General features: G+C 39.7%; 2 long non-coding RNA genes across 2 annotated transcripts; both read right to left on the bottom strand.

Annotated features, from left to right (window-relative positions):
• Window positions 1-2,798: 2,798 nt before the first annotated feature.
• FAM201B (family with sequence similarity 201 member B) lies at window positions 2,799-4,415 on the bottom strand. The gene has a single exon (NR_135203.1). It is a non-coding gene; the product is annotated as a family with sequence similarity 201 member B (long non-coding RNA).
• Window positions 4,416-8,654: 4,239 nt separating this feature from the next.
• On the bottom strand, window positions 8,655-9,609 carry LOC124907892 (uncharacterized). The gene is made up of 2 exons (XR_007087241.1): window positions 9,567-9,609; window positions 8,655-8,884 (listed from the first exon to the last, which is right to left on the bottom strand). It is a non-coding gene; the product is annotated as an uncharacterized LOC124907892 (long non-coding RNA).
• Window positions 9,610-23,311: the final 13,702 nt, after the last annotated feature.

The raw sequence follows: 23,311 nt of genomic DNA, 5'->3' as shown, positions 1-23,311 counted from the left end.
TTTGCTGAATCTTGTAGCTCCACCATGAAAATAATCATGGGTCTTGGAAAATATGATATGTACCTGGAGAAGTGATATAGAATTAAAAATTATAGAATTCATATTGTTTGGTCAGAGCGTAAGAGAGTGTAATCAGGTCCTAATAAATACATTCAAAATGTAAAATCTTAATACAAACCTCAGCACTCCCTGTAAGAAGTGACAATTAAGCTAGAGTGAATCCCCTGACCACTCTCAGAAGACACATAATGCATTTGAGACCAGCCTGGCCAACATGGCAAAACCACGTCTCTACTAAAAATATAAAAATTAGCCAGGTATGGTGGTGTGCACCTGCAATCCCAGCTACTTGAAAGGCTGAGGCAGGAGAATCACTTGAACACCAGAGGCAGAGGTTGCAGTGAACTGAGATCACACCATTGCACTCCAGCCTGGGCAACAAGAGCAAGACTGTGTCTCAAAAAAAAAAAAAAAAAAGAAGAAGAAGAAGATAGATAATGCATAACAATGTATCATTATTATGAATTCACTTTAGGCTATTCTCCATAGAATAAGTTCCAAAGTATGTGATCATCATGGATAATGGTGGAGACGATGACATAATTAATGAATCTTTATGTTATAGGTTATCTCTTAGGTATTAAATCTATGTTGGATAAAGAACATCTGAAGTGAAATTGCTATTATTTTGAAGATAATATCCAATTGTTTTCTGCAAGTTGCATTTGGTCACTGTGAGACAACTTACTGATGCGTGGAAAAATGCCAACTACCATGATTTACATATAATTTACATTACAAAATTTTAGAAGAAAAACCAAACTCTTTGAGGGATTTTAAAAAGGCTTATTTTGAGCTTATATGAATGACTGTGGCCCAGTGAATCACAGGTTTAAGGAGTCCTGAGAAACTGCATGCAAAGCAGCTGAATTACAGTTGATTTTCCATTTTAGAGAGGGAGAAATTACAGGGGAATACATAAATCAATACACAGAAGGTATACATTTGTTGGACCCAAAAAAGATTCTTTGAAAGATCAAGCCTTTCACTATATTGACTGAGCAAAAGATGGAAGACTAATTATTAAAATAATAAATGAAAGCAGAGCCATTACAACCAACTTTACAGAACTACAAAAGGATTACAGGAGTATACTATGAACAACTGTCTAACAACAAATTAGGTGCCCTGGATGAAATGGATGAATCACTAGAAAGACACAAACTACCAAAGTGGCTCAAGAAGAAAGAGAAAATCTGAATAGATCTATAACCTAGGAGATTGAATTAGTAATCAAAAGCGATTAACAAAGAAACATTTATGACCAAATGGCTGCATTAACTGCTGAGTCAACCTAACATTTAAAGAAGAATTAATACCATTTCTTCTCAAACTCTTCTGACAAAATATATGAAGAAGGAATACTTGCTAATTCATTTTTTGATAACAGCATTATCCTTATACCAAAGACAAAGAGAGCACAAAAGAGAGAACTACAGAACAATATCCCTTATGAATATATAAGCAAAAATCTCAGCACAATACTAGCAATACTAGCAAAATACTAGCAGCAATACTGCATAATCAAAGGATTGTAAACTATCACCCTTTGAGATTTATCCCCAAAATGCAAGGGTGGCTCAACATATAAAAAATCAATCAGTGTAATATACTGTAACACTGAAATGAATAAGCATGTTATTATTTCAATTGATGCAGAAAAAACATTGATGAAATATAACGCCCTGCTATAATAAAAATACTCAATAAACTAGGCATAGAAGGGATCTTCTGCAACATGACAATGGGATGTACAAAAACCCAACAGTTAATATCATGATCAATGATGAAACACTGAAAGCTGTTTTCCTAACATCTAGAACAAGACAAGGATGGTGCATTTGCCACTTGTATTCAACGTAGCACTGGCAGTTCTAGCCAGAGCAATTAGGCAAGACAAAGAAATAAAAGGCATCTACATTAGAAATAAAAAATAGGTGTAAAATTATATCTACACATGATCTTATGGGTATAAAGCTCCAAACAAAACACAAAACCATTTATAACTAATAAAAGAGGCAGGATGCAAAACAAACATAGGCAAATGAGCTATATTTCTATTTAGTTGTAAATAACTATGAAAACATTTTAAAAATTCCATTTATAATAGCATCAAAGAATAAGTTATTCAGGCATAAATGTAACCATGGTGGAACACAAAACTTTGCTGAAAAAAACTAAAGAGAGTGGAAATAACTGGAAAGACATTCTGTGTTCACGGGTTGTAAGACAATATTGTTAAGATGACAATACCATCTAAAGTAATCTACAGATTCAATGCAATACCATCAAAATCCCAAAGGCATTTTTGCAGAAACAAAGAAACTCATTCTAAAATCATACAAAAATTCAAAGGATCTGACAGACAAAACAGTCTTGAAAAAGAACATTGGAAAACTCACATTTTTCAGTTTCACAGCCTACTACAAATCTACAGTCATCAAGAGAGTGTGGTACTGGCATAAGACCAACAGACTTTTAGACCAATACAATAGAACAGATTTGAGATCCTACAAATTAGTCCTCACATATATGGTCAATGACTGTTCAACAAGGTGGCCAAGTCTAGTCAAGGGAGGAAAGAACAGTCTCTTCAACAGCTGGATGTCAGTGCACAGGAGAGAAATTAGACCCCTACCTTGCAGTATATACAAAAATTAATTCTAAATTAATAAAAGACTTAAATGTAAGGACTAAAAGTATGTAACTCTTAGAAGAAAACACACGGTAAACCTTTATGACCTTTGAGTTTTAAGTGTATTTTGAAATATGACAGAAAAGCACAGATAACAAAAGAAAATACATGTAAATTAGATTCAATCAAAATAAAAACCCTTTATGCATCAAAGGATACTATCAAGGGAGTGAAAAGACAACCCATAGTATGTGAGAAAATATGTATCTGCTAAAATCAAAGTGTGTATCTGATAAAAGCTTAATATCCCACAACTCAACAGAATTTCTAAGATCCCAATTAAAAAAGAGGCAAAGGACTTGAATAGACATTTCTCCAAAAAAGATACACAAATGTCTAAGAAGGACAAGAAAAGATGCTAAACACCGTTATTCATTAATAAAATGCAAGACAAAACCCAAATGAGATGCCACTTTGCATCCACTAGTAAGGCTTTCATAACAACGATACAGAAAATCAGTGTTGCTAAGGAGGTGGAGAAATTGGAGCCCTCATGAACTGGCTGCTAGGAACAGAAAATGATGCACTTGCTGTGGAAAACAGTTTGGTGGTTCCTCAAAGAATCACACAGAGAAACAGGCGCCGCGGGCTTGCGGGTTCTCCTGGGCTGGCGCGGGACTTCCCGGAATCGCAGGCGCTCATCCCTTCCCTCCTGAGGGCCCGCCTGGCCGTGACTCCGCCCCTCTTCTCCTCCGAAGAGAGATCGGGGCCGCTCCAGGGGCCGCCTGCAGCCACCGGGGATGCGGCTGAGGGTCGGTTCCTGCCCTGGTGCAGCCGCCTCCGGGCAGACCGCCTGACTTGGCCTCAGTCACGGCGACATCTAGCCCTGGTTCTGCGAGGCTGGGCGCGCCAGCCAGCTTGGAAGTTGCCCGGCGCCTGTAGCTGGGCGCCCAGGTGGTGGAGCATGGCCTGGGCGGCCTCTGGATCACGAGTGCCCCTGGCCTGAGAGCCCGCCAGACCCTGCCCCCGCCCGGGTCCTCCTCTGCCAGAGCTCGAGACCTCTAGCTAGGGGTCCTCTACAGCCACCGGGGATGGGGCTGAGGGCCGGTTCCCGCCCCCGTGCAGCTGCTGCAGGGCAGACCGCCTGGCTTCGCCGCAGCCACAGGGACATCTGGCCCTGGTTCCGAGATGTGGGGAGTGCGGGCGGGCTCGGGAGTTGCCTGGAGGCTGCTGCCTGCACACAGAAGGCGGCTGCAGCTTAGGTGCCCAGGCGGGCTGGAGGTGCATGGCCTGGTCGGCCTTGGGATCGCCAGCGCGCCCAGCCTGAGGGCCCCCAGGCCGTGCCTCTCGCCCACTCCTCCACCTGAGGGAGATCTGGGCCGCTGGCACGGGCACTCGGCAGTCACCCCGTGTGGGGCTGAGCGGCGGGTTCTCAGTTCTGGCTCCTGTGCAGCCGCCGCCGCCGGGCAGAATGACTGGCTTGATCGCAGCCACTGGGATACCTGGCCCTGGTTCTGCGATGCTGGGAGCGCGAGCGGGCTCGGGGGTTGCCAGGCAGCTGCTGCCTGCACACAGAGGGCGACTGCAGCTTGGGCGCCCAGGCGGCGGAGCATGGTCTGGGTGTCGTCTGGAATGCGTGCGCGCCAGGCTTGAGGGCCCCCCTGGTGGTGCCACCTGCCTCGCTGCTGGGCTCCTTCCTGCCCCTGCGCCTGCGCGGGCGCTGGGCCTTTGCGAAGGCTGAGCTGAGTTCTCCTCAGCACAGACCCGGAGAGCATCGCGAGGGCGGAGCTGAGTTCTCCTCTGCACAGACTTCGGAGATACAGCGAAGGCGGAGCAGTGTTCTCAGCACAGACCCGGGCGGGCGGGCCGGGGGCACCGCGAGGGCGGAGCTGCGTTCTGCTCAGCACAGACCTTGGGGGCACTGCCTCGCTTTGGTACAACTCGGGGCCGCATCGACGGTGAATAGAATCCTTCCTGTTTGCAGCCCTGAATAATCAGGGTCAGAGACCAGTTAGAGGGGTTCAATGTGGAAAACGGGAAACCAAAATCCCCTCTGAATCCTGCCCACCGAGGTTCTCCCCAGCCAAGGCGAGGCGGCCGCAGTGCGAGATCCACACCGCAGCCTCGGAAGACAAATGCAGCATTCCTAATGCAGACATGACACCCAAAATATGACACCTCCATTGCTCATGTAACAAGCACCTGTAATGCTAATGCACTGCCTCAATACAAAAATATTAATATAAGATCCGCAATCCCCTCGCTGCCGTGCAGTCCTAAGACAGAGATCATAATAATCAACATTGACATAGTCAATACCAACGTAGCAACGAACCTAGGGTTAAGGTTGGTGTTAGGGTTAGGGGTTAAGTTTAGGGTTAGGGTTTGGAGATAGCGGTTGGGGTCAGAGTTAGGGGTTAGGAGTCAACGTTTAGAGTTAGGGGTTAAGAGATGTTAGGGGTTAGGTATTAGGGGTTAGGGTTGGGTTAGGGTGAGGGTGAGGGTTGTGGTTAGGGGTTAGGGGTTAGGGTTAAGGGTTAGGGTTAGGGGTTAGGGTTAGGGTCAGGGGTTAGGGGTCAAGGTTAGGGTTCAGGGTCAAGGTCAGGGGTCCCACTCTGTGGGTTGTGTATTTACTCTGCTGACTGTTCCCTTTGCCATGCAAAAGCTCTTTAGTTTAATTAAGTCCCAGATATTTATCTTTGTTTTTATTGCATTTGCATTTGGGTCCTTGGTCATGAAATCCTTGCCTTTGCCAATGTCTAGAAGGGTTTATCCAGTGTTATCTTCTAGAATTTTTATAGTTCAGAAATTAGGTTTAAGTTCTTAATCCATCTTGAGTAGATTTTTGTATAAGGTGAGAGATGAGAATGCAGTTTTATTCCCCTACATGTGGCTAGCCAATTATCCCAACATCATGTGTTGAAAAGGGTGTCCTTTCCCCACTTTATGTTTTTGTTTACTTTGTCGAAGACCAGTTGGCTGATTATACTTGGGCATATGTCTAAACAAAACACGTATAGATCTGTATGCAGAAAATCATGAAACACTAAAGCAAGAAATTAAAGAACACTTAAATGAAGGGACTTGTTATATTAATGAACTGGAAAACTCAATGTGAGAAAGACAGATCTTCTGATTTAACATAATGTCAATGAAAATACCAGCTGAATTTTTGGGTAGATATAAATAAGCTGATTCTAAAATGCATGGAAAGGCATGCATTCCATTTATATGGAAAGGCAAAGGAACCAGAATAGCTAAAAACAATTTTGGAAAAAAAGAATAAATTTGGAGGAATCAAACTATCCTAAGATTTACTATCAAGCTACAGTAAATATGACATCTTGCTACTGGTGAAGAGATACACACATAGATCAATTTAGCAGAACATAGTACAGAAATAAACCCAAACAAGTGGTGTTGGGATGGTTGGTCATTCATATGTAAAGAAATAAACCCCAACTTAACCATCGCATATTATTAAGAAGTTAACTCACAATGGATCACAGATTTAAGTGTAAAACCATAAAACGTCTAGAACAAGAGAAAATCTTCATGACCTGGGGCTAGGCAGACTTCTTAGATATGACATCAAAAGCACAATCCAAAAAAGATAACATCGATAAATCAGATGTCATTAAAATTAGAAATTTTGTTCTGCAAAAGACACTATTAAGAGAATGAAAAGACAAGCTACAGGCTGAGAAGAAATATTTGCAAATCACACATCTAAAAAAAGACTTATATCCAGAATATATAAATAGCTCTCAAAAATCAACAATAGGAAAAATATAACCCAATGTGAAACTGGGCAAAGCATGCATACAGACACTTCTGCAAAGAAGATATAAGGATGGCAAAGAAACAACAACAAAAAAGTAATATCTGCTGAACACCATTAGCCATTAGGGAAATGTAAATTAAACTCACAATGCTTAGAATGGCTAAAATAAAAAAATAAGGAAAATACTAAGTGCTGATGAAGATGTAAATAAACTGGAACTTTCTACATCATTAGTGAGAATGCAAAATGGTACAGATACTACAATTTGGCAGTTTCTTATAAAGTTAAACATGCATTTCCCATATGACCCAGTAAACATACTCCTGGCTTCGTATGCTACAGAAATAAGCACAAAAAAACTATACATGAATGTTTATATCAGCTCTATTGATAAATGCCAAAAAGTGGGGGAAAAAGTCTATCAACCAGTGAATAGATGAACTGTGATATATCCATGAAGTGGATACTTCCGTTAACCAGAAGTAAACAGAAATGAAGTATTGATACGTATAACAACTTGGGTGAATGTCAAGACCAATTTGCTGAGTAAAAGAATCCGGTCTCAAATGTTACATATAGCGTCGGTCCATTTATATGACATTCTCAAAAAGACAAAGCTGTAGAGTTTTAGTGCTTATGGTAGTTGCCAGTGGTTACAGGTATGGTGAGGGGTAATTATGAGGGAAGACATTTGGGGTGATGGAAATGTTCTTTTTCTGACTACGGTAGTCGTTACACAAACTATGCCTGTGTTGTAATAGAATTGTACACCAAAAATAACAAAATAGTCAATTTTACTGTAGAAACATTTTTTAAAAACCTGTTTTAAAAACCTGGAAACACAATCTCAGTTATAAGGTATGGTCTATAAATGTTGTTATCATTTCTAACAATTTGTTTCCAGGGATTTTTTTTTAGATTATCGAAACATAACCAATCATTGCTCTTCAACTCTTCAATACTCTGAAATAGTTGGTGGATTATATAACCTACCAATATTAAGTGAGATTAAGGAATATATCCAGGGGTTATTTCTATTCTATTTTGATACCTATTCCAATTCTACACTGCAAATCCTTGATGCCAGCTGTCTGTTGAGTAGCTACTCTAACCATAAACACTTAACAACTTTGTACGATGTGCTGGACACATAGAGAAAAATATGACATGGTCCCAGAAATAGAAGAACTTCCAGTGTATGGACTTAGATAAAGAGAAATAAGAAACAAAGAGCTATAAGACTTAGGCAAGGCAAACTCTATACTGGAACACAAAATTCAGCACCATTCTTCTCCAAGGTACAACTCTCTTGCGTCCCCTAGCGTCCTCAATAAGGACCATTCTGTAAGCTGCAACGAATGAAAACCTTAGAGTAGCTGCCGGCATTTCCCTTTCACGGTCTTGGATATAAGCAATTTATGATCATCAATGTTTGACAATTATGACAATCAATCAAACAATATTATACTAAGTCGATGTTAGAGATTTGGTTTAAAATACTGAAACCAAAAAAAAGGGGCATGGAGTTGATCCGAGACTGGCAAATGTTAACAAAGTTTGAAGCTGGGTGATGCTTCCACAGAATTATTTTAGTCATATTACATTTGACTATGCTTATAAATTTCCATAGTAAAAACTTAAGGGAAAAATAAAAGCTATGAAGCCTATTTGGTTAAACATGGGTAAAAATCCAAAAAGAAGTCTACTGGAAGAGGAAAACATTGAATTAATATTGTTATTGTTATATCTTGTGGTTAGCATAATTAGTTTCTTTTACTCTTTCTATACTTTCTTAATCTTTTACAATATGCAATCATTTATATAATCAGAATATGAATGTAAATATTTCAAATAAAATTAAATTACAGATAACTAAAAAAAATAAAAAATTCAAAGCTCATTAACCTCGCTTTTACGGTCCTCTAGAAAAATCCAAACATGTCTTCTGAAGCTGACACTAAACACATCAAGAACTAAGGCAATCGATGGAAACTATCTGAATTCAAATCTCAGCTCAGACTCTTACCACCTGGGTGACCTAAAGGTAAACCACCTATGCTGTGTGTCTCTTTGCTTTTCTTTAAGATGGGAATGGTGGCACCCAACCCAGCCTCAAAGGGCTCTTGTGAGGATTAAATATGTTAATTCATATCAAACTCTAAGAATGATCAGCACTCAATGTTTAAATACTATCTTTATTACTCATGCCCAAGTTCTCCCTCATCCGTTTCTGCATTTATTGAACAAATATCAGGGCATCTTCGAGCAGAATTTGCCAATGAATGAAGGAAATATTGTCTCCCTGGGAAAAAAGGATGATAAGTACTACTCAGGTGAGACTCCGCTGCCAAGTGCCAAAGGGTTATTCCCTCCTTCTCCCTGCAGCCTTTTTCAAGAAGTCAAGGCTAAAGAAGGAAAGGAGGATGGGAGAAATCAGAACTCCTGCATGAATTACAGTGGACTGCCCAGACAGCCCGGAGTGATCCTCTCCTAAAGAAAAATCTCTCAGTGATCAGAAAAGGGCCAGGGATACTCTGCAGCTGGAGCTCTGACCCCATCCTGGGCTCACAGAAGCTTTCAGGGAACTGAGTCCTTCTCAGAAAATTAAAACGTGCTAATAACAAGAGACCCATCTTCTACCACCTGTCAGGCTCTGTTCCAAGCCTTTTTATTTAACTCTCAAAAGAACTCCATTAGATAGATACTAGTACCATTTTAAAGAAAAAGAAACATAGGCAGAGAGATTAAGATACTCGCCTTTTATTATACTGCTAGGAAATGGCAGAGCTGGCTGATGGTCAGGGGAAAGGGCTGGGGGAGTACAGAACCCAGGAGATCCCCAGTCCCTGCGATGTAGGATCCCGGACCCCCGGCGCTAAGTGGAGATGCGCCAGCTGCCCCACACTGGAGAAGGCTCAAAGAAAACAAATCCCACCCTTCGCCGCAGGTGGATTCTCCTCCCCTAGAGCTACTGTCCAGTTGCTACTGGCCTCCAGCAAAACAAACATCAGTATGGACGGAAGGAGCAGGACGCAGGGCGGGGAGGGTCACCTTTCTGGGAGAAAAGAAGGCCGCGGCCTAGCGTACCTTGGGCGGAAGTGGCTCTCCCTACGGAGACCTCCTGGACTACGCTTCCCAGAATTCTCGACGGGATCAGGGAGACGGCCTCAGCCTCCTAGAGCGGAAGTTACCCGACTACACGGGGCTCCCAAACTACACTTCCCAGAATTCCTAGAAAAACTCTCCACTCTCTGCCTGCCTAGGACGCAAGTGCAGGGTGCCAAGCGGAGAGCCTGGATCATATTTCACATGTGCCGGTCCCAAAGGAATTCCTTAACTCTCCCTTCCTGGAACCGAAATGCTTCCAAAGGCAGAGAGCTCCTATATATATTTCTCTGTTTTCCCCGGAGGACCGTGCATGAAAGGCGCCTTTTTGGCGCGTGTGTCTCTGACCCTGTGGATCTTCTGGACAATTCCCGGAATTTCTTGCAGGGCAGCACTTCCCCTTAAGTCGTCTCTTTCTCGTTTGGATAGTCAGTATTTGTATAGTCACTATTCTCTTTTGGTTAGCCGTCTAATTTTATACTGCCAGTCAAGCTCTACTCCCTTCCCCCTAGAGTTTGAATTTATTTTTTTTCAAACGCTACACAAACCCAAATAAACTCAACCAAAGCGGACTTTACCTACCTTCCTACCTACCTACCAAGAAAATATCCCACAAAGGAGAGAACGGAGAAGCTTGCAATACAGGAAGAAAAAAAAAGAATTACAGAATGGAAGGGATGTGTGCTCTAAAAATGCAGGTACTCAAAGGAAATTGGGCTGATTTGTACTGGACACCGAATTTGAGGAATACAGGATCTCAACCTTTCTTTGACTGGATTACTTTTTTATTCCATTTTGGTGTGGACGCGTCTGAAACTGATAGTGCTGCTGCTACCTACCATAATGTGTTTGTTGCAAGATCCACAAGAACGTGGATGCCAAGAATCCACAAAAAAAAACAGATGCAACCGTTGATGAGGCCATAAACAGAAACAGCAAGCGGTTCCCACGTTTCCTCTGCTTTAACTACTGATGATGAAATGCAAGTCATAAGGCAAATAGAAGGGCTGTACTGATACAGACAAAATGTTATTATTATGAGAAGGGATAAGTCCCTTGTAAAACCTTGAAATTTTTTTCTTCTTTGAGAAAAATCTATCACCTATTTTCACCCTGCTCTTGATATAGCAAATATTGTAAGTTGTCTTATGGAGGATGACTCAGGGAGGACGGTGAATGGGTTGACTCAATCCAGAAAAGGAAGAGGAAAATAAAAAGACATAACGACCAATCTGTGAAAACGCTCAGTGGCTTAAAAGACACTATTAAGAGATGAGACTATTTGATTCTTTATTTAACTCCTTTCCAAGGAAATGTTTTTGAAAATCCATACGGTTTACATATTAAAGAGGATCAATCTGATAATAGGTGATTTTTTTGAAAAAAATGAAAGGAAAATTTAAAAATAAAAGGGACAGAATAATACTTTGTATACTTCCACTTCTAGTAATAATAAAATGAGTGATTTGGAACAAACATGTAGCAGAGGAAAGGTGAGCAAACTTTTTAAATGTCAAAAGACATCAAAAGACAAGATAATGGAGAAATGGTGGGCCAAAATTCAGAAACAGTTGGGAGAGTCATGCATTTGGGGCTAATTTTCTCCTGGGGATGATGGTCTAGTCTAGGATCTGAAAAGCCTAGAATCTCTGCAGCACTTTTGACACCTATATGAAGCTGGGGGAAAGAAAGATTCTAGCAAAAATTAAAATGCACATCTTTTCAAGAGCACATAAGATTTGTACAAATGAGTAAAATGATATGGGATTTCAAAATACTGAAATACTATGTTTTCGAATACAGTGAAATTTGGCTAGAAATCAATAAAAATACAACTAAATGATTCATGTGTGCATTTAATAAATATTGTCTCATCTCCAAACCCACCATTCTTCACGCCGCTTTATGGGGCTGGAATGGGGGAGTCTGCAGCCAATCTTTCCCGACCTCTACACCCCCAATCTGGTTCTGTGTTCGGCAACTATTAGCAGAAGAGTATAGGGGTGGTGGGGGCAGGGAGATATACTGTATCCTGTGCCTGCCAGCCAGCAGTACTTTTTCTTGTAGCAACTGCCTAATTTTCAGTTTTTCTAACACTTGAATACCTATTTCATCATGGCTCTTTATAAACATTATTAAACAACTTCCCAAAGACTGATCCTTAGATGTCTAAGTGCTAAAACTGCAGGGCCCTGTTTCTGAGCTCAGAGACAGCAGAGCCAGCTGAACACTGGCCTCTCCTTAGAGGTCTGAGTTTCAGGTGAGCATGACCTTCCTCCAAGCTTCTAAGTTTTAGTAATTCCTGTCTCTTCACTTTGTTTCCTCAGACCTCAGGTGGTTGCTGCTTGCTGCAGTTGCTACTTCCTGCAGTTGCTACTTCCATCATATATTAGAGTTTTTTTTTTTTTTTTTTTTTTTTTGACAGAGTCTCGCTCAGTTCCCCGGGCTGAAGTGCAGTGGTGCCATCTCGGCTCACTGCAACCCCTGCGTCTCGGCTCCAAGCAATTCTCCTGCCTCAGCCTCCCAAATAGCTGGAATTACAGGCATGCACCACCACTCCCAGCTAATTTTTGTGTTATCAGTAGAGATGGGGTTTCACCATGTTGGCCAGGCTGGTCTTGAACTCCTGACCTCGTGATCCACCCGCCTCAGCCTCCCAAAGTGCTGGGATTACAGGCGTGAGCCACAGCATCTGGCCCAGAGTTCTTTTTCTGCTCTTTCAGAAATCTAGCTACCAACTCTACAATATGCTAATTTTTCTTTTCAAATAATTCGTAAGGTTTCTATCTTCTAGGTGAACCCTAAATTATAAACTTGTTTAGAAATTAATCAAACCACTTTTAAGTAATCCATAGATAAAAGAGTATGGCATTGAAATCTGGTGTCATCAGTGAATTCCACCAAATATTTAAAGAAGAAACCATGTTCATCTCAAAATTATTCCTCAGAATAACAAAATAGGAAACACTTTCCAACTAACTTTATGAGGCCACTATAATAACACTGACAAAATTTGTGAGAGGCTTCATTAGAATAGAAAATGACAGGTCTGGCCAGGCATGGTGGCTCATGCCTGTAATCCCAGCACTTTAGGGGGCTAAGGCAAGCAGATCATGAGATCAGGAGATCCAGACCATTCTGGCAAACACTAACACAGTGAAACCCCGTTTCTACTAAAAATACAAAAAAAAAAAAAAAAGCCAGGTATGGAGGCACGCGCCTGTATTCCCAGCTACTTGGGAGGCTGAGGCAAGAGAATCACTTGAACCTGGGAGGTGGAGATTGCAGTGAGCTGAGATCGTGCCACTGCACTCCAGCCTGGGTGACAGAGTGAGACTCCATCTCAAGAAAAAAAAAAAAAGAAAAGAAAAAAGAAAGAAAAAGAAAATGACAGGTCTATCTCGTCATAAATATACTTTCAAAAATCCTAAACAAAATGTTGCCAATCATATATGAGGGTAACACATCATGACCTAGGTATCAGAAACAGAAAAAAAAAGTTTGATTAATCACCCATTTGTCATAAGAAAATTTAGGCAACTAAGCAATAGTAAAGATCTACAAAAATGGCAACAAATACCAAAAGGAATAGTGAAATATTGAAAACATTTCCTCTACGATGGGGAACGAAATAATGATGTCCACTCCAACCATTTCTACTAAATACCACATTTGCTCCTTTATCCTGCAATCTTGCCAAATAATCTAATTAATTTTAATATTTTATGTGTAGATCTTTTGAATTTTATATGCATGCTCATGTTGACTTCAGATCTGCAACAAATGTGGCACTGCAGCACCATGGGAACAGGACAAATATTCAACACATGTTGCTGTTAAATTGAATATTGTGAAATAAAACTGAAATTGACCTATACCTCCCACTACATGCAACAATCTAAGGCTGGTGGATTGTAGAGCCCAATTTGAAAAGCATTTCTTATGACACTTAAATCTACTCAGTGTATAAACCCATAAGAAATGTGTACCAAAATACACATATAAGAATGTTCATAGCAGGATCATTCATCACAATGACAAGCTGAGAATACTTCAGATGTCCATCGATGATAGTATGGATAAATATTTTTTGTTATTTACACAAGGTAAGAGCAAGGACACTGAACAAACTTTAGCTGTACATGCAATACCATGATGACTCCCATAAATATGTTGAGCAAAATAACTAGACAAACCCCGTAGATGCAGCGTGATTCCACTTGTTCATTAGACATGCAAAATTCATCAGTAGGATGATTTTGGACACTTAAATAGTAAAAATATAAAGAAAAGCAAGGGAACCTTAAAACTTAGGGTAGTGGTTTCTTTTCCTGGGGAAGAAAGCATCATGATGCTGTGAGAGTGGGGTGTTTGCAATTCTACCATGCTCCATTTTTGGCTGTGAGTGGTGATTATACAGCTGTTCATTTTATGTTCATACTTTCACATGTGTATTTATGATTTGGACACTTTTCTGAATGTAAGTGATATTTCAATCTGTAAAAATCAATGATATATGACCAACAAACTGTGGTACATCAATACAATAGAGTATTATTCAGCCATAAAAAGAAATGAGATATGAAGTTATGAAAACACATAGAATAACCTTAAATTCATATTGTTAATGGAAAGAAGCCAGTCTGTCAAAGCTACATACTGTAATTCAACTATATGATAATCTGGAAAAGGCAAAACTAAAGGTCAGTAAAGTGATCAGTGGTTGTTAGAGGTTCAGAGAGATTAATTGGTAGAGTACAGGGTATTTTTAAGCAGTGACACTATTCTGTATGATATGGTATGGTGGATATAGGATGTTATGCTTTGTCAAAACCCATGGAATGTACAACACAAAGAGTAAGCCCTAATGTCAACCACAGACTTTAGTTAATAATAATGTGTCGATATTCGTTCATTAGTTGTAACAAATATGCCACACACATGCAAGATGCAAACAATAGGAGAAACTGGGCAGGGGAAAGGAGAGCACATGGGAAATATTAATACTTTCTCTGTAATTTTTCTGTAACCCTAAAACTGCTCTTAAAATAAAGTCTTTTTTAAAAAATCAATGATATGTTTCAAAGGAAACTGAATATATGGCATAGAACTTTTTTCAGAACTTGGAAGGGCTAAAAATAATGAGAAACTCTATAATGAATATGAACATATTGATCAGGTGTATCTTATAAGCTAATGAGAAAAAATGTGGACTAGAGAAGGAAGCAGATTGTAATAAATAAATCATTAAAAGAGAATAAACAATTTATCCAAATGGGCAAAATCACATATTGGAAGGAGGAGAAGAAGATGGAGGAGAAGTGGGTGGAAGGCCAGGGTGTGTAGGAGGAGAAGTAGGAGAGGAAGAGTAAGAGAAAAAGGAGGAAGAGACTCCTAGAGATGCACTTGTAGACACTGAAAATTTTTTTTAATGGCAAGGCTGAAGACTAAAGAATTGAGTCAATTTCAAAGGAATGAAAAAATAAGCTTTTCATTTTAATTATTGTCTGCAACATTAAAAGTAGTAATAAAATATAAAAATAATCTATGGGGTTTTGAGATGAAAAGATTGATCCTTCTATGGTCAGAGAATGTTTTGTTCATGTGCACTATTCTTGGCATACAAGATTCAGTTGTGAATCACTTCTAAATTCTTTCTGGAAAATATTCTTCAAGACATATTACAGGCCTTTGGCAACAACACAGATAAAGCTTCCACAGACCGTCTTCCTAGTTTATTTACACAGAAATACTGAATAAAATGTGAACATAAAAATATCATTTATTTGAATAGGGGAATGTTTGAGGGCTTACATATTAAACATAGAAAGAAAAAAACAAACAGATATTATTTATTTGTTCCATTATATCCCCCACTACCCACTCTCATTTTCTCCCCTGTAGCATCAGTAGCCAGGTCGATCTGTTTAATGTGTGCCTGTTGCTGGTATGTCTTTTTGGCAAATGTATGGAATTTCAGATGCATATATATATATCTTGTGTTATAAAACTCTGTTAAAATTTTTCACTCAAAACTAGGTTTTTCTCAATATTTTACTAAAAATTTTTTTTTTGAGACAGGATCTTACCTTGTCACCTAGGCTAGAGTGCAGTGGCATGATCACAGTTCACTGCAGCCTTGACCACCTGGGCTGAAGCCATCTTCCCACCTCAGGCTCCAAAGTAGGTGGGACTATAGGTGTGCCCAACCACACCTGGCTATTTTTTTTTTTTTTTGCTAAGATGGGGTCCCACTATGTTGCCCAGGCTGGTCTCAAACTCCTGGCTTCAAGTGATCCTCCCACCTCGGCCTCCCAAAGTGCTGGCATTATAGGCAGGAGCCACTGTGCCTAGCTCTGAAATTTTATACCATAAAGAAGAGTTGGAAGAATTATACAGTAGTCACCCATATATTCTCAGCTTAGATTCTAAAATTAGCAACATTTATGTCTTAGTCATCCATCTAGCTATCTTACTTATTACTTATCCATCAGAACATTAGCATTACCTGACAGATTCCCCCATGACACTTACCAGTCAATCTCTAACCCCTTCCCCCAGTGGCAACCACTGTTCCACTTTTTCACCATAAATTTTACTAATTTTAGAATATGAAATATATGGAACCATATGGTAAGAACTCTTCTGCATTACAATACTTTGAATATAGTGTTTTTCAGATCCATCCATGTTGATGCACATATCAGTCATTTGATCCTTTTTATTACTGAGTGATGTTCTATTGCATGAATATATGTCTTTGGAAACTTGCTTACATTTTAATTGTCTAAATATTTTTATGAATAAAGATCCTGCAGCATACTTATAAAAGTATTTTTGTGGTCATATGCTTTCTTTTCTCTGGAATAAATATCTGTGATTAGAATTGCTTGGTGTGTTTAACTGCTTAAGAAAACACCAGATCATCTCCCAAAAGATTAATTTTACACTGTCTCCCAAAATATATGCAATTTCTGATTGTTTTGAATCCTAATAAGCATTTGCTGTTATTAATATTTCCTTTTTGAGACGGAGTTTCACTCTTGTCATGCAGGCTGGAGTGCAGTGGCATGATCTTGGCTCACTGCAACCTCTGCCTCCTGGGTTCAAGCAATCCTTCTGCCTCAGCCTCCCGAGTAGCTGGGATTACAGGCACCTGCCACCATGCCTGGCTAATTTTTGTATTTTTAGTAGAGATGGGGTTTCTCCATGTTGGCCAGGCTGGTCTCGAACTCCTGACCTTGGATGATCCGCCCACCTCGGCCTCCCAAAGTACTGGGATTACAGGTGTGAGCCACCGCGCCTGGCCTGCTATCAGTATTTTTAATATCTGCCATTCTGGTGGTTGTGTAGTTGCATCTCTCTGCAGTTTTCATTTGCTTTTTCCTGATGACCAATAATGTCACACTTCTTCACAGGCTATATTAACAATTTTTATGTCTTCCTTTGTAAAGTAACTGTTCAAATTTTGCCCATTATAATTGAGATGTTGGGCTCTTTAATATTGAATTGTACAAGTCTTTATACATTCTGGGTGTCAGTCAGTCTGAAATTTGGGCAGAGTTTAATGTAGAATAAGGAGCAATTCTTTGCTTGACATCTTTTTCCCAGGATTTCTTCCCTCACTTTCCAGGTCCTGTGGTCACCTCAATCTCTGTCATCTAGATCTTCATGCCAGTGGATACTACAGAAGCATCCACAGATTCAATGAAACAGGGATCAAAAATATTCAGAGAAAAATACAAATTAGCAACACAACAATAAAAATAACACAAATAAAAAATGCAATATAGTATGACAACTATTTACAGGGCATTTTTATTGTATAGGGATAGAAATAATTTGAAGTATGCAGGATGATATGAAAAGGTTACATGAGAATATTATGGCCATTTTACATAACAGACTTGAGCATCCACGGATTTTGATTTCCATAAGGGTCCCTGAAACAATTCCCCACCGATACCAAGGGACTACTGTATTCAGGATTTTTTCACTTAGTTCATGAAGGATATTCATCTGTAGTTTTCTTTCCTTGTAATTTCTTTGTCTTGTTTGGTATTATCAGATTAATGCTGGCCTCATGAGACAAGCTGGGGGTGGGTGGGTGTTCCCTTCTCTTTTTGTTTCTGGGTTTATTTAAAATTCACATCTTTACTCTTTAAATGTTTAGTAGAATCCACCAATGAATTCATCTCAATATTGTTTTTTTTATTGTTGTTGTTGGAAGGCTTTATCTATTAAATCAGTTTTGAAATATATATCAGGCCAGGCAGGTGCAGTGTTTCAAGCCTGTAATCCCAGCACTTTGGGAGGCCAAGGTGGGCAGAGCGCTTGAGCCCAGGAGTTCAAGACCAGCCCAGGCAACATGGTAAAAACCCATCTCTACAAAAGATAGAAAAAATTAACTGTGCATATATATATATATATGTGTGTGTGTGTGTGTGTGTGTAAAAATTGTATGTATGCACACACATACATACACGCAAGTATCTAGGTTATCCATTCTTCCTGAGTGAGCTTTGGTAGTTTGTGCCTTTCAAGTAATATTCCATGTCATGTAAATTGATCAATTTATGGACAAGGAGTTGTTTGTAATGTTCCCTTATAATCCTTTTAATATCCGCAAAATTTGTAATAACATTCCCTCCCTCCTGATTTTTGTTTTCTTCTTTTTCCCTGTGGGTGAGTCAGTTGAAAGGTTTATAAACTATATTGATCTTCTCAAAGAATAAGTTTATGATTTTATTGATTTTTAAAGATTGTTTTTCTGTTTCCAATTTCATTGACTTACGTAGCTGCCACAAAATTTCACTCTATCCTCTCCAGGACCCAGCTGGGCTCAAGAATTAAATTAGCATAACACAGATTAACAGAACAGCAGGCAAATTTATTTAATACAAGTCTTACATGTGACCAGAGCCTTCATTACAAAATGAAGATCCAAATAAAAAGTCAGTTATGTATACACTGTAGTGAACAAAGAATAGTAAGTTGTTAAGAAGCAATTGGGCCAGGCCTGGTGGCTCACGCTTGTAATCCCAGCGCTTTGGGAGACAGAGGCAGGAGGATAGCCTGTAGCCAGGAGTTTGAGACCATCCTGGTCAATGCAGTAAGATCGCGTCTCTACAAAATAAAAATAAATTAAATTTTTTTTAAAAAAGAAGCAACTAAATCATGCAGACAGGCTTGAAAGATGTTATTTTAAGGTGGTCTGTACAGAATTCTTTTGGGCTTGACTTCTCATTTTGAGGAAAAGTATATTGCTCCTTTTTTTCCAGTATAAGGAGTGGATCTTCTTTCCTCCTTCCCACCCTCCCTCCTTCCTTCCTACCTTTTCCCACAGATGTGCTAGCAGAATGTGCTAATTAGTAAATATCTTCTGCCCTGAGAAGAGAGATGACACAGCAAGAAGAAGGATGCTAAGTCATACTCAGTTAAGATTCTGCTGCTAGGAGCCAGAGTCATTCTTTCCTCATTCCTGTGACCATCTGCGAGAAACCAGAACTGTGTCTCCCTCCTGCACGAATCACAGAGGGCATCCCCATACAGTAGCCTGGAGTGATTCCCGCCCCACCCCCCACCCCCATCCCCACACCGCCACCCTCACTTTTTTAAAAAGGGAATCCAGGAATCGTCCTGCTTCCTGTAAGGATCAGAAAGAAGGGGCAAAATAGCACTGCAGGTGGAACTCTGATCCCTTCCCAGGCTCACAGAAGCTTTCAGGTAACTGGGGCTTCTCGGGAAATTAAAAGAAAATTAATAAAATGAACCACACTTACCACCTTTTACTTGTGACTATCTCATTTAATTCTCCACTGAACTGCATCGGTTTGGTACTTCTATTCCCCTCATGTTACATAAAAGGAATGCTAGGCACATACATTTTGAATTACTTCCCAATTTCACACTCCTAGAAGGTGGCAGAACTGCCTGGTCAGTCCTGGAGCAGGAACAGAGCGCACAAAATACAAGAGATCCTCAACCCGCCAAGACCAAATTCTGCAAACTCGACAAAGGGTCACTCACCTGGGGCCCAACCCCATCTTCCACTGCTAGCCACGGATGCTCTTCTTGAAGACAAGGAGGGCCACCGCCAGGCTAAACGAAACATTGCTGTCTCAGGCCTCACTCAACTTCCTGAAACGAATGATGACCTCACTTTCATGGAGCAGAAGTGACTGTACTTACCCACAATTCCTGTATTATAACCCCAGAATCCCCAATGAGATAATCGTCACAGCCACGCCCTCCTGTAGCGGAAGCCTGGCCGCCTACACAGAGCTCCAAGGTTACTGCTCCCAGAATCCTCGCAAAGAATTGGCAATGTCGTTGCCTTTCTCTGGCGGAGGGCTGGCTACTACCGTTTGAATTTGGAATGTATGTCACACAATTCTAGAGCAGAATGCAAACTCAGCACTGTCTTCTTTGAACCAAAATGTCTCCAAAAACAGGATTCTAATTTATACTTAATATTTCCCCCAGAAGCCCAATCATTAAAGCCACCTTTCCTGGAACAGAAGTGTTTTTGACGCCGTGAATCCTTTGGACCAGTTTCCAGAATCCTCTTCAGGTAGCGCTTCTCACCAGCGTTTCCCTTTTTATTTTGGATAACTAGGTTCAGTCCGAATCATTCTATCTCACTGGTCAAGCTCAGCCTTCTTTTTCGTTATTCTCATTTTTTTTCTTTCACATGTGACAAAACAAGTGTATTTGAACACCGCTCCCACCCTGTCCCCCACCCACTTCCCTTTAGTAGAGAACACAGTTTGAAATGAAAAGGAGGCATAAATTATAAAGGGGAAGATATGTGTGAGCTAAAAATGCAGAACTTAGAAACTGGGCACGAATGTAAGGAACACAAGATCTCAAACCTACTTTGACTGGATTTTCTACTTTAATCCATGTGTGTTGGATGCATCTAGAACTCTTGGCGGTGTTATCAGATATTAGCTATTCATTCCATGATACAAGAACCCACAAGAAGGTCATGCAAAGTTTATTAAAGTATAAAGCAGAAGCAGCAAAAGCTTTTGGGTGTTCCTTGACTTTAATTGTTCATTGTAAAACATGGCTCATGAGGCAAATGAAAGGAGGTGTGTTCATGTGGAGGAATTATTATAATATGAAAAGAGATAAATATATAAAAATTTGGAATTTCTTTTTGTTCAAGTTCAAATATCACATCACCCACTTCCACCCTATTCTTATTATCATAAATACAATAATAACTGTATTTCATTCAGGTGAGTCAATTGACAGTTGGACGCAAATCCAGAAAATCCAACAAATAAAAATACACGAAGGTTCTGCTTACCACTTTTCTTCTGGACAAGAACTAAACACTTTCATACCTTTATATTATGAAAAATTTCAAACATTAATAGAAGTAAAGAGTGAAGTATTCCATCACCTCATCACCCAGATTCAGCAATTTTCAACATGTGCCACACTTCCTTTATCTATCAATATTGTCTTTCTGCCCTTTTTGTTATTGTAATTTTAAAACAAAATCATAACACTGTATTATTTTCCCCCTAAACACTCCCATGCATACTTCAAAGAATTACATTTTCTAATATAACAAAAATACAACTATCACACTGAAGAAAGTTAATAATTCCTTAATATTATTTTATACCCTACAAAACAAAACTTCAAAATTTCCAGTCATCTCAAAAATACCCATTCTTTGCATGTGATTGTTTTCTCTCTTGAGTCTCTTTCAATCTGGAAGAGTATCCCCCCTTTGATCCACTTTAAATTCATGCTTTTGGCCTATAGAAGACATCAGGTCAGTTGTCAAGTAAGATGTCCCACATTATGGATTTTTAAAAATGTTTCATTATGCTGCCATTTAACATTTTCTTGAATATCTTTTGTGGCTCTGGTAAACTACAATTTAGATTTAGAGAGCAGATAAGATTAAGGTTCATCGTTTTCGGCAAGAATACTTCTCCATAGGTAGGTTTATTTTGGCCTTGTTCAATAGCATCACCTCCTTAGTGCAGATCACAGCACATTCTTGAATATTACTGTTTCCTACAGCACCTAAGATACTACACCTCAATCATGCACACAAATGTCCATTAGAAGAACAAGGTTCACAGAGTTTGAGGGAAAGGGTGAAGATTTTAAGAATCAAAATTTTTTCTCTTTCAATTGCTAATCTCATCCTATTAAGCATCCATAGTCTTGCAAAATGTGAAAGAAAAATAAATCTCGGGACCCCCAAATCACTAAGCCAGAGGGAAAAGTCAAGCTGGGAACTGTGTCAGGCAAACCTCCCATTTTATTACTTAATATGATAGCTATAAAGAAGAAAAAGCTACATACCTCCTTCACAATTTGTCAACAAGGAAATTCCCTGTGGGCCTGAACATCTTTATCCAAAAGCATTTCTGTTGAATTTCACCCTGGTAATGTAAATTGATAGCTTATCTTCACAGGTGTGGGACAAAGGACAGACAGAACTCAAAGTCATTCCTCTGTTCACCTGAAACAAATGCATATCTGATTGCTTCCTCTTCCCTATTGTTTCTGTAATAATGCATATTCACTAAGCAACATTAAGACCTAAGTCACTATTCGTCTACCCACCTCTCACGTGTGAGTTTTGTATTCAGTAAAAGCCTAATCAGACCTCAAAATAATGCCACTGTTTGTCTCTTATCTACCTATGATGTAGAAGCTCCCACTCCCATTTGAGATTGTCCTGCCTTTCTGGACTTAAGCAATGTATAACTTAAACATACTGTTTGATGCCTGATTTCTCCTAAAATGTATAAAATCGAGCTGTGCCCTGACCACTTTGGGCACATGTCGTCAGGACCTCCTAAGGCTGTGTCACAGGTGCGTACTTAACCTTGGCAAACTAAATGTTCTAAATGGATTGAGACCTGTCTCACATACTTTTGGGTTCACAAAAGTATGCTTTAGTGAACACCCATGTCCATTTGTTCTTGATCTTTAAGTGAGTGCTACCATAATATAAATTCCTTGAATGGGGACCCTTGAATCTAAGAGTATGCACAGTGCATAGAGTCATATTACCAACCCTATCTCCAAACAAGTGATCTGACTGACTGAGCCAATACTATTTGGGAGCCTTTTCCCCAAAAATAGATGCTATGAATTGAAATATCCCCTTTCATGGCATGTTTAAAATACTTCTACCATTGCACATACCGACTTATCAAAGTTATCTGATCTCTGATCTCTGCACCTCTAAAGCAATGCTTCCCAGCCAAGGTCACATACACTGAGAAAGTGTCTCACAAATAACTTTTAAGTGATAACTGATACCAAATCTGATGTTATTTAAAAACAAAAACAGAGGCAAGTCAATATTCCTCACGTAATAGCATCACTGGTGCCTGAACTGAAGTTTGCTGTCTAGAGTAGGAGACCAAAAGATGATTTTAAAGCTGCTGGGCCAGGTAATATACTTAACCTGTAGCCTTTGGGACATATGCTATTGACTGGCTCACAGAGCATCCATTCATAATCCCTTTGACCCTGCATGTCTCTTCTATAAAATCATGGGGGACAATCAAAATACTTTCTTAATGTTCCTTAAGTCTACGGTTGTCATAGGACAATATTTTGAACAATTAGATGTAAGTGTAAGTCTTCTGTTTATACTAGAGAGAAGAGAAAAGATATGGTTGGTATTGAGGATATGAGATGAATAAGGGATATTGAAAATGCAATAGGATCAATGAATT

Source organism: Homo sapiens, chromosome 2 (genome assembly GCF_000001405.40).
Source record: "Homo sapiens chromosome 2, GRCh38.p14 Primary Assembly".
NCBI classification, from domain to species: Eukaryota; Metazoa; Chordata; class Mammalia; order Primates; family Hominidae; genus Homo; species Homo sapiens.
Note: the sequence above shows the minus strand (reverse complement) of the source record. Positions and strands in the feature narration are given on the sequence as shown.